The sequence below is a fragment of the Homo sapiens genome, chromosome 10 (assembly GCF_000001405.40).
Source record: "Homo sapiens chromosome 10, GRCh38.p14 Primary Assembly".
Classification (NCBI taxonomy): domain Eukaryota; kingdom Metazoa; phylum Chordata; class Mammalia; order Primates; family Hominidae; genus Homo; species Homo sapiens.
The window spans coordinates 34266489-34281947 of NC_000010.11; the positions used below are offsets into that span (position 1 = coordinate 34266489).

Genomic DNA, 15459 nt, shown 5'->3' on the forward strand with positions numbered 1-15459 from the left:
TCTTAAAAATATAAATTATGTCTCTCCTGAGTTGGAAGCATCTCACAAATTATCTAGTCTAATCACCCTTCTGGGGCACAAATGCATAAAAGTATCGTAAGTCTGACAGCTGCTGAGGCTGTGCTTGAGTTAGGATGAGAGGGGCTTTTGAATACAGCAATGTCTAAGATGTGATTCTGAGTTACTTACTGCTTGGTGTAACTCATCCTCATGACTAAAGTCTCCTCCAGAATGTTTCTCTGAGTGCATTTTGGCAGAAATTAGGAGGCTGAGTTTCAGTTTGGGGTTAGCACAGTGCAGGGTACAGACTCCAAGTGGGGATGCTGGAGTCCAGAAACAGAGGCTGTTCTGAGCATGTAAGTGCTACTGAAAATTTGCAGACATTTACATGCAAGATTTAGACTCTTGTAGGGCACTATGATTTAAACTGGGGTTTAAAGCAACCACTTCTGGGCCTCAGGAGCTGGGAAGACAGAACCCATCTGACTCCTGGCTTTGATGTCATGTGGGACTTCTGAGCTGTGTGAAAAACTGCTACGTGGTAGTCTACTATTTTTCAGGTTTTCAAAGTGGATGTGGAAGGTGCTGAAAATGATGAGTGCTTTTATCAACGATCAATAATATGTCAACTAATTTTTTTTTTTTTACTTCCTCCAAAAGTTACTAACTGACAACGCCAGCATTCTGGTGTCCTTTCTCCCAGGAAAACAATTCCAATGGGACATTCATGGCCTTCAAATGCTGTTTGACCTTCTATAAGCAGCATTCACAAGTATGGCAGAAACCAAGTAAGAGCTTTTAAAGAAAATGTCATTGTCACTGATAATAATTGTATTCTTTGGATCCTGACATATCTGTGGTTAGATAATAAGCAAGTGAACCTTCTAGGTGATCACAGCAAAGGGGTCTAAATAAACCATATGCCTCCTATGTTAATTTACATTATTCAGTCATTATAGTCAATATCAAACAGACCTACAGATTTTCATAAGACCATAAGGAAAACCTAAAACCCAACAAAAGCAAAACAAAGCAACAAACCAAATACTCTGGCTATAGCATTTCACCTTAAGATCTGGCTTCACATTTGCTATTTTTAAAAATACTTCTTCCTGGGTTTGCCTAAGAGTTACCTGTTGCATCTGCAAACCTCTATTAAAAACAACTGGAAGTAGGTAAAATAGAAACTGGGTGCAAAACGTAGCAACCAATAACACATGGATGCTATGGATGAAGTATTTCCCGTACATCTCTAGCCTTGTGAGGGTTCTTAACAGTGCCATCCCCAGGACCAATGGTACCAGCATCAAACCTGGACATGGGTAAGAAATGCAAATTATTGGGCTCAACCTCAGACCTACTGAATCAAAATTTGGGGAGAGTCCATCAATGTGTGTTTTAAGAAGCCCTCCAGGAGATTCTGACACACACTAAAGCTTGAGAGCCCCTGGTTTTAATGAAACCTGCTATTCATAATGTTCAAGGCCCAGTTCCTAAATAGAGCAACACTTATAAGAAACCACTATGAGAGATGATGAGCTGAGTGTATCATTTATGACAATAACATGCGTATGTCTGATATAAAAAGAAATGATTATTTGTGAACTAAACTCCTCATGGTGCTTGAACATACAAATGAAAGAGCGGGAAAAGATCGTTTAAAAATTGTTTCAGTTAAAATTTTAAGTAAATATATAGCCATTAAAACACAAATGACATGCAAATCAAAACCATAATGAGATACCATCTCACACCAGTTAGAATGGTGATCATTAAAAAGTCAGGAAACAACAGGTGCTGGAGAGGATGTGGAGAAATAGGAACACTTTTACACTGTTGGTGGGACTGTAAACTAGTTCAACCATTGTGGAAGTCAGTGTGGCGATTCCTCAAGGATCTAGAACTAGAAATACCATTTGACCCAGCCATCCTATTACTGGGTATATACCCAAAGGACTATAAATCATGCTGCTATAAAGACACATGCACACTATGTTTATTGCGGCACTATTCACAATAGCAAAGACTTGGAACCAACCCAAATGTCCATCAATGATAGACTGGATTAAGAAAATGTGGCACATACATACCATGGAATACTATGCAGCCATAAAAAAGGATGAGTTCATGTCCTTTGTAGGGACATGGATGAAGCTGGAAACCATCATTCTCAGCAAACTATTGCAAGGACAGAAAACCAAACACCACATGTTCTCACTCATAGGTGGGAATTGAACAATGAGAACACTTGGACACAGGAAGGGGAACATCACACACCGGGGCCTGTCATGGGATGGGGGGAGGGGTGAGGGAAAGCATTAGGAGATATACCTAATGTAAATGATGAGTTAATGGGTGCAGCACGCCAACATGGCACATGTATACATATGTACCAAACCTGCACGTTGTGCACATGTACCCTAGAACTTAAAGTATAATAAAAAATAAATAAATAAAATAAGATAAAACACAAATAACAGATAAATAAATACTGAAGCTGAGGAATACCCCAAATATCCTGACATGATCATTACACATTCTATGCATGTAAAAATTACTCACATGTATCCTATAAACATGTAAAATAGCATGTATCAATTAAAAAATACAGTTAACATTGCACTCCTGTGTGCTACACTGATATACATAATTTAGACCTGTGGTCTGTGGCTGTTAATAAGCAATCTGTTATACTATATTATTCTTCTCATTTACCGATTCTTTCATAATATAAAGTTATGCTGCCTAAAAAAAAAGTGATCCATCTAAATCATAAGTGGAACAAATCATGTCATTCCCCATCTATTTAATTGCCACACCTAGAGGCTCTCCTAGCAATAAAAGGACATATCACTTAAGTAGAAGAGTCATAATTTTAAGTTTGCTTTTTATTTGAGTTATAAAGTAGAGGTTGGTTCTCAGGTATAAAACCATCTTCAGAACAAAATGAAATATGTTGGAATCATTAGAAAAGCCATCAAAACCTCTGCTGATCCTTCCATTAGGTTTCAATTTGTGTAAACTCAATACTTTTAGACACAACAGCTTTTTAAAGGCCATTAATAAAAGGCAATTCTGGTTTGAGGATTGATGAATGGTCTACTCCCCTGTCAGAAGCTGTATAAAAGCTGATTTGGAAGCAATACCACGATTGCCCCTGGCGCCTACCTGTCTACAGGTGAGGGTTTGGAATTCCGCGGCTTCTTGACTTGGGCATACAAAGCATCCATCATATGCCCTTCTCGTGGGCTCTGAGGTCTAGCGTTGAGAGCCATGGAACCTTCATAAGAAGAAACTCCCCCATACATTAACTCATCATCACAGCCAAATGTCCGATGAAAATCTTGAATTTCAGCATAGTCACGCTCTCGAGCTTGTCGTTCCCTAAATTCTCGAGTTTTGGCTTGAATCCTATGAAATCAGAACAAAGTTGAAATAAGAGAAACCTTTCCTTTTTTAGGAACTGCATATAGAAACATTCATCAAAATATGTTGTAAAATATATTTGATTTCTTGCAGCTATAGAAGATCAGTGGTATAAATGACAGGTCATACACATTCTAGATTGTTAAGTAATGCTATGGATGCTCAAAAAGAATAATTTGAGATGCCCTTTGTTCATGTCTACAAGATTGCAGTCATAATTTAAATCTTTTTTTTTTTTTTTTTTGAGACAGAGTCTCACTCTGTCCCCCAGGCTGGAGGGCAGTGGCATGAGATCTTGGCTCACTGCAACCTCCGCCTCCCAGGTTCAAGTGATTCTTGTGCCCTAGCCTGCCAAGTAGCAGGGATTACACGTGTGCACCACCACGCCTGGCTAATTTTTGTATTTTCAGTAGAGATGGGGTTTCACCATGTTGGCCAGACTGGTCTCAGACTCCTGAGCTCCAGTGATCCTCCTGCCTCAGCCTCCCAAAGTGCTGGGATTACAAGTGTGAGCCACCGTGCCTGGCCATAATTTAAATCTTAAGTTTAAACTTTCACTTATTAACTAGCTTTAAAAACTCGCAAGGAACAGATCATTTCTGGCATCTACTTGGATATTACTCATGAATTTGTTTAAGGCAAGAAATAATTTTTTTAACGTTACATACACTTTATATATGAAAATATTTATATGTAATATATACCTATCTTACTCATTATTAATACACCATAAACATTCAACCTACTATGAAGCTTAAACACGAATCCACACCATAACTCTTCATTAGTGACAAAAGAGGATCTCAGCTTAATGACATCGACTCTGTCATTTCATGGGATGCATACAGAAATGGAGAATCCTTAAATTAAGGACTAGAAGGCATGTATCCAATCAAATTGTGAAGTAAAACTTGCCTACATTACAACTAAGAAACAAACCTTAAATGCTCACCTTTACTGAAGTTACGTTTAGTTTACTATGATTTTATTAAACTATTTGGTACAATGTCCTCTTCAACTTATAATATATTGATATAATTTATGTCCTAAGTCAATCTTAGTTACCTGGAAAAAATTTTAAAACCCTCAATAAAATTTTAATGGAAAAAATATCTCCTTTATATACTTACAAATTTAAGTACACACTTAAATGCAGTAAAATCTTACTTCTATAAAGCAACACTTTAGACTGAATATAATCTTTTATTGCAGTTATTCTTTTCATGTTTGAAGTAGACCTCTGCTAGCAAAAACAATACATAAACATATATTCAAAAGAATTCAGAAAAGATACCAAAATCAGATAAAGACAGCAGCAAAGAAAAGGAAGAAAGAAAAGAAAGCTATATAGGCCAATATTCCTCATGAATATGAAAGCAAAAAACCCTTAATGAAATATTAGTAAATGAAATTCAGCAATATATAAAAGAAATTATACACCGTGACCAAATGGTGTTTACTGCAAAAATTCAAGCCTGGTTCAATATTCAAAAATCAATTACTACAATCCATCATATTAACAGATCAAAGAAGAAAAGTTACATGATTGTATCAATTGATGCAGAAGAAGCATTTGATAAAATTCAACACCCATCATGTCAGAAAACCTTCAGAAAACTAGAAATAAAGTGAAACTTCCTAAAGTTAAGAGCATCTACCAAAAACCGACAGGTTCCCTCATGCATAATGGAGAAAGACTGAATGCTTTCCCTATGATAAAGTAAGGATGTGTGCTCCTACCACTGTAATTCCACATAGTGTTGGAAGTTCTAGGCAATGCAATAAGCCTAGAAAAGGAAATAAAAGTACACAGATGGAAAAGGAAGAAATAAAATGCTTCTTACTTGCAAATGACATGATGATCTACAAAGAAAATTCCAAAGAATCTACAAAAATCTCCCAGAACTAAAAAGCAAGTTCAACAAAGTCAGAGGATATAAGATCAACATATAAAAATCCATTGTATTCTCCATATGCTGGCAATGAACACGTAGTCACTGAAATTAAAAATGCAATGCTATTTATAATCCCTAACGAAACAAAACACACAGATACACATCTATAAGCCAAACTTTCGTTTATGTAGACCTGTGTAAGATAGATACGTTGAAAACTACACAATGCTGCAGCAAAAACAATTCAATGTAATAAAATAGTTTTTTCAACCAATGGTGCAGGAGCCATGAGATAACCATAGGCAAAAAGAAAAGGAAAAATAAATTTCATACCTTACTAAAAAATTAACTCAAAATGGGTCACAGGTTTAAATGTAAATGTAAAAGTATAAAACTTAAGAAAAAATGTAAGGGATTCTTTAGGAACTAGTGCGTGGAGAAGGGTTTTTAGGACTAATACCAAAACCATTATCCATAAAACTTTAAAAGTATATACATTGAACATCATCAAAATAAAAAACTTTTCCTCTGTGAAAAGCTCTAATTAGAAGATGAAAAAATAAGTACAGACTAGAAAAAAATATTTGCAAGGCACGTATCTGACAAAGGACTTATATCCAGGAAATATTTTTTAAAACAGTCAGCCTTCTCGGCTCATACCTGTAATCCCAGCACTTTAGGAGGCTGATGGGGGCGTGCTGCTTGAGCCCAGGAGTTCTAGACCAGCCTAGGCAACACAGTAAAACCCTGTCTCTACAAAAAATGCAAAAATTAGCTGGGCATGGTGGTGCACAGCTGTAATCCCAGCCACCCAGCTGAGGTGAGAGGATTGCCTGGGCCCTGGAGGCCAAGACTGCAGTGAACCATGACTGTGCCACTGCACTCCAGCCTATGTGACAGAGCAAGATCCTGACTCAAACAAACAAACAATCAAACAAACAAAAAAACAAACAAACCCCTGAAACCTCAACAATGAGAAAACAATCCAATTAGAAAATGGCAAAAGACATGAAAAGATGTTTCACTGAAGAGGACATATGGATGACAAGCATGTGAAAAGACGTTCGCCACCACCAGTTAATAGGGAAATGCAAATAAGACCATGATGAGCTATTACTACACACCTGACTGGTTAAAATAAAAAACAGTGACAATACCAAATGCAGCCATGAATGTAGGGAAACCGGGCTTCTCATATATTGCAGTTGGAAATTTAAAATGGTACTGTCACCCTGGAAAATAGCCTGGTAGTATCTTTAAAAATTAAACATATACTTATCATACTGTCCAGTAATTGTGCCTCCCGGTACGTATCCCAAAGTTGTGAAAACTTATGTCCAAGCAAAAACCTGTATGCAATTGTTCATTGCCAAATATTACCTTATTTGTAATATTTAAATATTGGGAACACCCAAAATAGCTCACAATAGGTGAATAGTTAAAAACAAAAAAAACAAAAAAACTGGGGTGTGTCCATATCACAGAACATTACTCAGCTGTACAAATGAACAAACTACTGATACATACAGCAACTTGAATCTGTCTTAAGGGCATCATGCAATGTGAAAAAAACCCCAGTCAATCTCACAGGTCATATATGATTTCACTTATATAGCATTCTCAAAATGACAAAAGTATGGAGTTGGTGAACAGGTTAGTGATGGCTAGGGGTTAGCTACAGAGGAAGACCTCTGTGATGAAATAGTTCTGTTTCTTTACTGTAGGAGTGGCTACACTAATGTGCACAGGTGATGACACAGAACTACACACACCCTATACCAATGCGAATTTCCTGGTTTTGATGCTGTACTACAGTTATCTAACTTAACCACTGGGGGAAACTGGATGAAGGGTACATAGGACCTCTTTGTACTATATTCATAACTTCCTATGAATCTAAAATTATTACAAACTTAAAAGTTTTTTTAAAGACAGAAAATTGTCACATAGCATTACAAGCAAACTTTGCATTTTCCTTGTTTCTTTCTTGTATCTAGTGTATCACCATCACCCCACTCTTGGTTTCCAATTTTGAATACAGGGGATCAAATCTGTCTGACTTTTCTTCTCTCCCAGCTATAAAAAGTACATAAATTCACCTAGCTCAGTGTTTCTCAACAGGACCCAATGACATTTGAGAAGGGGCTATTTGTCATCAAGCAGGACTTTTACCAGAACTGGTCACAGCCACATGTAATCCAGCAGTGTCCCCAATGGGGCAACGAAAACTGCTTCTCATGTTCCCCAAAACTCTCTAGGAGAACCTTATTTCCTGAGGTGACAACCAATGACTTTCTTAACTCAAAAGTGAATATTAGGAAGTTAGAAATTTTTATCAGGACTGTTCTAGATCCTAGTAACTCTAAGACTGTAGGTTCCACAGACAGAATACCCACAAGAGAAACAGCAACTCAAATTCTAATGTCAAATTTAGCTAAAATTCTACTAGACAGTTTTTAAATTTTTACGCCATTTATCCATTTAAGAGCAATTATGACAGTTAAGGATGCTATTATAAAAGCTGGTTACCACTAAATACTAGCTATCCATAATGGAAGGTTGACAGGAGTTAGGAGATAATTTTATTCTTTGCACCATAATGTCTTTTTGACTCTTGATTTGACCAGAAATCACTAGCAGAAAGAGGAAAATGAGTTCTTTCTTACATTCAATGGGATATTAATTTGAAACTCAATTATGATCACTTATCTGACAACCCACTATACTATGATATTTGGTCACCATTCATCAGTCACTTAATCATAGGTAATATCCAGGGTAACTAGGCATTCACATAAGTCTTGAAGTTTGGCAAACTGAAGAAGTTTGAAGGAACACAACAGACCTAAGTATAATTATATAAATATAAAGCTGAAATTTCTGAATTTGGAGAACCTCCAAAAATCAAAGAGAAGGACTCAGACTGATTTATTAATGACTAAACTCTATGATACATCTAGCTTAATTCACTAAAAGTGAAAAATCCAGCTTACTTACATCAGAAAATGCATCCCTCTTAAGAAAGAAAGCTAACAGAAAGAGAATAGGAACACACTCTTTTCAAGGGAGGCATAAACCTAAATAATCTCCCCAAACTTCTTGCACATCAGTTTCATTATATTACTGATGGGTTCTGGATTTGAATATTCTTTTGTTCCAAATGACGCAGAAAATAATATTAATTAGCAGTCAATTTCTAACAAGTCAATCTCTCAAAAGAAGTGCTCAGCAGCATGAAGTACTATTTATAAAGCCCAGATCTCAGCTGCCTTCTTTTACCCAAATTTGTACATTATGACTAATCGCCACCAGTCACTGAGCCTAATAAACGTTAAAGCCCCATCTGTAGTACCTTCCAGAAATACTGACTTTTTTCAAGGCTCCAATAATGAAGGAATTGTATTTGTATTGCTTATCTTGTCATCACCAATAATGTTGTCCCCAAAGTTCTAAAACCTGCATCACTGCTTTCCAATGTGGCAGCTTACACTGGTGGTGAAAACCTTAGAATAAAACTATAGCATACGTGTGGTCCACCAGGTAGAACTACTGCCGCAAAAGGCTAACGGATCTGGTCAGTAGCCTGAACTAATGTGCATTCTCAAGTTCATTCTAGAAATTAATGCTAACGAGGCTTGCTGTACAAATAGCACTTTAGAGTAGACTTTTGAAACTAAGCATGCACTGTGATTTTCATAAATTTTAGTGGCAATTCACAAGCAAAATTAACAAAAGACACAAATGAATTTATTATATTCTTTGATATTTGAATGTCTTGTTACAAAGTGAGAATATGAACTTTCTAACACGACCAAAAGGTTATATTTGCATGTTATGTATTTCCACTCTGTGGAGATACATATTTCAGTAAGAAAATATTTGGCTCAGGAAGAAAACATGTTTGGTGTCCTCATAAAAATAACATGACTTCTTAAGGAAACTTTGAAAAGATGGTGAGTATCTTGCAGTTGAGCCCTTAATGGATCCAGATGGCCAGGGCTATAAAAGCATACCCCCTTTACTCTTTTATTGTGACCCTGAGGTCACAAATTATCTCCAAGATGTAAGAGTCACTCATTTTTCTGAACAGTCAGATTGTTGTTCAGCATTCTCTATCCCATTTATCTCGGGCCAAACCTCAACAATGACAGAAGTAACTGATTAGTCCAAAACCCAGCAAAAGACATAAATGTCTATTGCTTTAAACATTTCAGTAAGTCCTTCCTGGTTCTAAAAAGAACTATTCTGAAGTTCAGATTATCACAGGCAGTTGTACCACCCGACATTGATGGACAACATTTATACTGTTTCCTATCCTTGAAACTTGAAAAAACAAATTCAAACAATTAAAACCTTTTATCAAGTCATTTTTAACTTAATAAAGAACTTATCATTTCAACTTGTTATGTTCAAGCATAAATACATCTTTCCTTTTTGTAAAAAAAAAAATAAAGTGTTCCATTATGATAATGAAATTGCCTTGAACCTGCATAGAAAATAATACACAAAATAATGTAATATACTAAATAAAGTAATAAGGTTAATTTCTTTCCTGCTGTCACTAAATTCATGCTAACAGTCTCTCTTCAGCTTGACATCAATTAATGATTTTAATTCCAGGCTCTTGTCACAGTGTTCACCACCTTTTCTCTAATTAAAATGGATGACGCTCGATGAAGATAAAACACACAAGACTTCTGTTTTTGTAACATTTCTATTCATTAGTATTTTTGCTTTTACAATAAATGGCTTTTAGCACTAATTGCAGTAGAATAAGATGAAAGGAACTTTTTATGATCATAAAGTCTAGTCTTTATATATCCAGAAAAGGTACCAGGTACGGGAATAACCACCGAAGTGACCAAACTCCTTAGGATGGAAAACCAGTGGTGTCCTTAAACCTCTCAGTTACATACTAAATACTTTCATTTCCAAACTCCTTGGGATGCAAAACCAGTGGTGTCCTTAAACCTCTCAGTTACATACCAAATACCTCCATTTCCAAAGCTATGATGCTGCAACACATCTCTTTTTACATGTTGTATTTTTTTAAAGACTACAAGAAATAGAAACTGTCTTTTAACGATTTTTAATTTAAAAAGTTATGTCTGCAGAAGATAGAATATACTAATATTAGTTTAACAGAAAAAATGTTTTTAATAAATTTCAGATTGCTACATATCAGATAGTTGTTGACTATCTTCAAAACAATGTTCAGGATCTTGCAATCAACTCTTTTGGGAAACATTTTACCCCCAACTTACTGCACTGCCATCCAGAAGCCTCATTCTGGGAACAACAGTTCGTGGATCTTTTTCCAACAGTATTTCTTCTCTCAAAAAGTCAGTATTACAGAAATTGATCAAATAAAACCCAAATTCATGGCGAAATGAAATTTAAGCTACAAAACAACTGGAAAGAACCGTCTGTTGAGAAAGCAGTTTTAGTCCACCATGGAAGGCTTTATTGGGCCCTCAGAGTACTTCAGCAGATGGCAGACTTCAAAAATACTGCAGCTCAACTCATCCTTCCTTTGGGTGATCCTCCCCCTGCCAGGTGAATCTAACAACTGCCCCCTAACAGTAGGTAAGCTGCCAGTTTGGTGCCTATGCTGAATTCCCAAAAGAGAGATACTATTCCACTAAATTTCTTACCCTGGTAACAGTTCCAATTTTAAGTGGGATTTTAATATCTTTGTCATATTAGGGTAAAAGTTGATTGAGAAGAAAGGACTTCCATATTCTAAATGAGCCCTGAAAAAAATTTTCTTGAGTGAAAACAACTGTTTTAAAGGTACATTTCCAATTCCAGGGAAGAATGCAAGTTGCTGAAATATATAGTGGTCCCTTAGAATAGCTGGGAGGGAAAGTTAACTTGCATCCCTCAATGCTAAAATGAGATGAAACTGGTTTTAAAATACAAAACGGTTAAAAGTTGAAAAAGAGATAAAAGAAAGCATTAACAGGGAGACTGCTAACCACTAATACAATCACAACTTGTAAAGAATCCAGGCAGTTAAAAGACTGCCCACTTTCCATAAGCCTTTGTGCTTAGGGGGAGAGAGACTGAAAGTGAGGGTAGAATTTTTCTAGTTTGCTAAATTATACATATTCTTGGGAATAAGATCTAGCTCCCAAACTATCATCTCTATGAAGCAGTCACTACTAACTCCAGCCCCACTGGTCGTTCCCCTTCCCAAAGCTCTGTAATCATCTATTTTAACAATTGATTATATTGTCTTTTCCCCCTGCCCAGAGACAGGGGTCTTACTCTGTTGCCCAGGCTGGAGTGCAGTAGTATAATCATAGCTCACTTCAGCCTTGAACTCCTGGGCTCAAGACATCCTCCCACACCAGCCTCCTGAGTGTCTGGGACTACAGGTGCATACCACCATGCCCTGCTAATTAAAAAAAATATTTTTAGGGACAGAGTCTTGCTATGTTGCCCAGGCTGGTATCGAACTCCTGGCCTCAAGTGATCCTACCACCTCAGCCTTCTGAGCAGCCTTACATCAATTTTTTAATGTTAACATGCTTAAATCTTTTTCTCTTAACAAAGGTAAGGGATCCCTGAGAGGGAAAAAACATTTTAAAATAGTAATTTTAAAAAGACTTATACTATCTGATATGGTTTGGCTGTGTTCCCACCCAAATCTCATTGTGAATTGTAGTTCCCATAATCCCCACGTGTCATGGGAGGAACCAGGTGGAGATAATTGAATCATGGGGGCGGTTTCCCCCTCCTGTTCTTGTGATAGTGACTTAGATCTCACAAAATCTGATGGTTTTATAAGGGGCATCCCCCTTTGCTGGGCTCTCATTCTTCTCTTTTCTCCCGCCACGTGAAGAAGGACGTGTTTGCTTCCCATTCTGCCATGATTGTAAGTTTCCTGAGGCCTCCTTAGCCCTGTGGAACTGAGTCAATTAGACCTCTTTACTTTATAAATTACCCAGTCTCGAGTATGTCCTTATAGCAGCATGAGAACAGACTAATATACTGTCTGATACACTTAATATATTGTGAAACAACAAAACCAGTTGTCTTATACTGACTAATAAAACACTAGAATAATATTTCCCTAACCAACAGACACAAACACATCTCAACAGATACTCACTCAAGTAATGTTCAGGCTTTCATGGATATTAAAGCACCTACAATTATTGCCAATGCAGAGAGATGCTCTTAAGCCAAATATATCTAGGACAGCTCTCATCAGAAAGCAAACTGCATTTTCCTACTTCATTTGCAGTATCTGTCAATAAAATCGGTTTCAGATATATAGTATGCCTAACGCTTAATTTTCCTCAAGTATTCATCTATATTTTTTCCTTTTTTTTTTTTTTTTTTTTTTAGAGACAAGCTCTCACTCTGTCACAAAAGCTGGAGGGCAGTGGCACAACCACAGCAGCTCACTGCAGCCTCGAACTCCTGGGCTGAAGTGATGCTCTTGCTAAAGTGTTAGGATTACAAAGTGTTAGGATTACAGGTGTGAGCCAACACACCCAATCAAGTATTTATCGAAATAGTTAAGTTCTACAAAGCAGGTTAACAGATTCTTAAAAATTCTCATTTACCTGTGCAATGAAAATTTTTTTAAAAAAACTTGAAACTTAGCCTATTGATTAGAATTGACTTTTCTAAAGGATTCACGAGGTCAAAGAAACATGAAAAATGCTGCTACAGGATAGAAAAAATGTTTCTCTTAAAAGGTTAATTTTTAAAAGACAATCTTTGCATGACAATAAGTGATCTAAATGCAAAGATTAGTGTTAGGAAAACAAACATGTATCACTTGCTGAAAAGGATCCTACCAACTGAGATGACAAAAAGTTCAAGTAATTACCCAAAGCAGGTATTACTGAGAACAGCTGGTAAAATTAGAAAGAGAGGAAACGGCATGCAGAAAATCCACATAAACTTGCAAAATGACACACCAAGAATGGGGAGTATCCCACTGAAGGACACAGATAGTTCAACGGTCTGGTATTGAAAACACAAGGCTTTGAAAGATGATTAGAACATTGAATAATGGAAAGTTTCAGATCATCTGTTTCCTAAGGAGATTTATAAATATTCCTTCTATACTGGGAGGATTTAATAAGAAATTAATTAACTTTTACATATTTCCACTAGAAGCATTCAGTATCCCTGGAAATGTTCCCAAGCACAACTTACTATGCAGATATAGATAATAATATTGTAATAGCTTTCAATGGCTGAATAACTACAAAATACAAGCCAGCTAACATTATAAACCTCATTTAATAGAATGAATAACATGAGGAGAATATTATTTGAGAGTTGGGAAATTTGGCCAGATATCATAGCTAATATTTCATGTTTCAGAACATCTTTCCTTCTTTCTGTCCCTCTTTCCCATTTGTCTGTTCACACAGACCTGACCGTGATCCAGAAAACATTTAATATGATTTTCTAAGAATGCATAAAAATGCAAAATAAATAAAAATGAAAATAGATGTCAACTTCTTAAAAGTACATAGGTGTGGAAAATGTGTACTTTATAGGAAAAAAAATGATTAGCACAGACCAGTATGTTAACAGTGTGTTAATACAGATAAATTTTTGTTTTCTGATTGTAATTTTATGGGTTTCTCCCAAATTTTTCTGTAGTTTTTAGTATTAGAATAAACTTAGAACTAGAGCTTAAAAAGGTACATTTTTTAAACAAGTGAGAAAGGTGGGAAAGAGAAAACTGAAAAAGGAGGAGCAGTGGTAAGCACGCACTTTCATAAGTCCACAAAACAGAAGCCAGAAAGTAGAGACAGGTTACAACACTGCTTTAAACTTGCTCGCAGTTCTGGAAAACAATCAACTCCGGTTTCCACAGCCAGTTAGAGGAGTAAGCTGAACACCGCTGAACCAGGAGTCAACGGTCTTTACTTGCCCTTGGTATTTCCCCAGTGACTCAGAATGTTGTGGGATGTCAGTATTCCAGGAAAAGCAAAAAGTGAGGGGTTGAGAGGATGTTTTGAGAATAAATAAGTTTGGAGAATGGTGACTCTCTGTTCCTATCTTGGTGACTCATAATGCACATGAACTTGGTAGAATTTTGAGAAATAACAGAGTAGAAAGATACGCATATACTGGTTTAAACAAGTGTTTCTCAAACATACTTGTAAACAGAACACATTCTCTGCTGCTGAACACTGGGCAATCCTGTACCACATAGTGTATATACTACCATTTAAAAATACATGGAGGTATCACTGGAGCAAAAACAACAGAAAGCCAACGTGTGATGCTTGGTCGACAGAGAAATCTATCACGGGGCTTTGTATGGGAGGCTAAGTAGACCTGAAGTTACGTAGATCACTTAATTGGAACATGTTCTGTTTTGAGTTTGGAGCCTAAACCTTTCATGTGGTGGAAATGAGCCAGTAGAGGCGCTGTCCCTAGGCATGCCTGAAACACAAGTCAGAGGCACGAAGCACTGAATTCACATTTTTGCTTAGTTTCTCAGTCTGTCTCCAATGTAGCCAACAGCATCTCTGAAAAAATAGGGTACCTAGGTTCAGTGCTCCAGAATGAGAAGTCAAAAATAGCATGTCGGAAAACCTGTTAACTTCCCCCTTGGTATCACGCCCAGACTCCCCGCTTCTCAAGAAGACCATACTCATGGAGGCTCTAGTCTGAGGCAGGGCAGGGCTAGTAGAGCAGAGCACAGATCCATACAGTGATCTTCCTAGTCCATTTCTCCCATATGGATGGCATTTACTCAAGACCCAACCTCACAGTGTTGGTAGCAAGTGACAGAAAGGGAAGGAAGTTAGCAAGAATGAAGTCAAACTTAATCTTGGACCCGGCTCAGAACAATCTAGTATATTGTCACCATCTAAATAGATCTTAACATTGAAGAAAAAACATTTAAAATTATATTCATAGCCCTTTTAGTTTTTCAATATTTATATCTTGAGCAATATTCAAGATTCCCAGATGTACACAGGCAAAAAAAGTTCTGGTTTGTGGACAATCATAACTCATGGGGGAATGTTGGGTTTTCTATTTTTATATGGAATTAGCCAAAATAATTTTTGGAATTCAAATAGCTACAGTGGTAAATAATATCCCGAGAGGTATTTCACTACTAGTCAGCAGTGAGGGAAAGGTTGTAAGG

At 36.7% G+C, this 15459-nt stretch overlaps 1 protein-coding gene across 8 annotated transcripts in view; it reads right to left on the reverse strand.

The window, feature by feature from the left end:
- The window catches only part of PARD3 (par-3 family cell polarity regulator), a 705736-nt gene that overhangs the window by 156928 nt on the left and 533349 nt on the right, over nt 1-15459 (reverse strand). For all 8 annotated transcript variants that reach the window (NM_001184790.2, NM_001184791.2, NM_001184789.2 and 5 more), the window contains one exon: nt 3169-3411. In NM_001184790.2, the coding sequence (NP_001171719.1) occupies nt 3169-3411 (243 nt within the window). The remainder of the gene's footprint in view (nt 1-3168; nt 3412-15459) is intronic.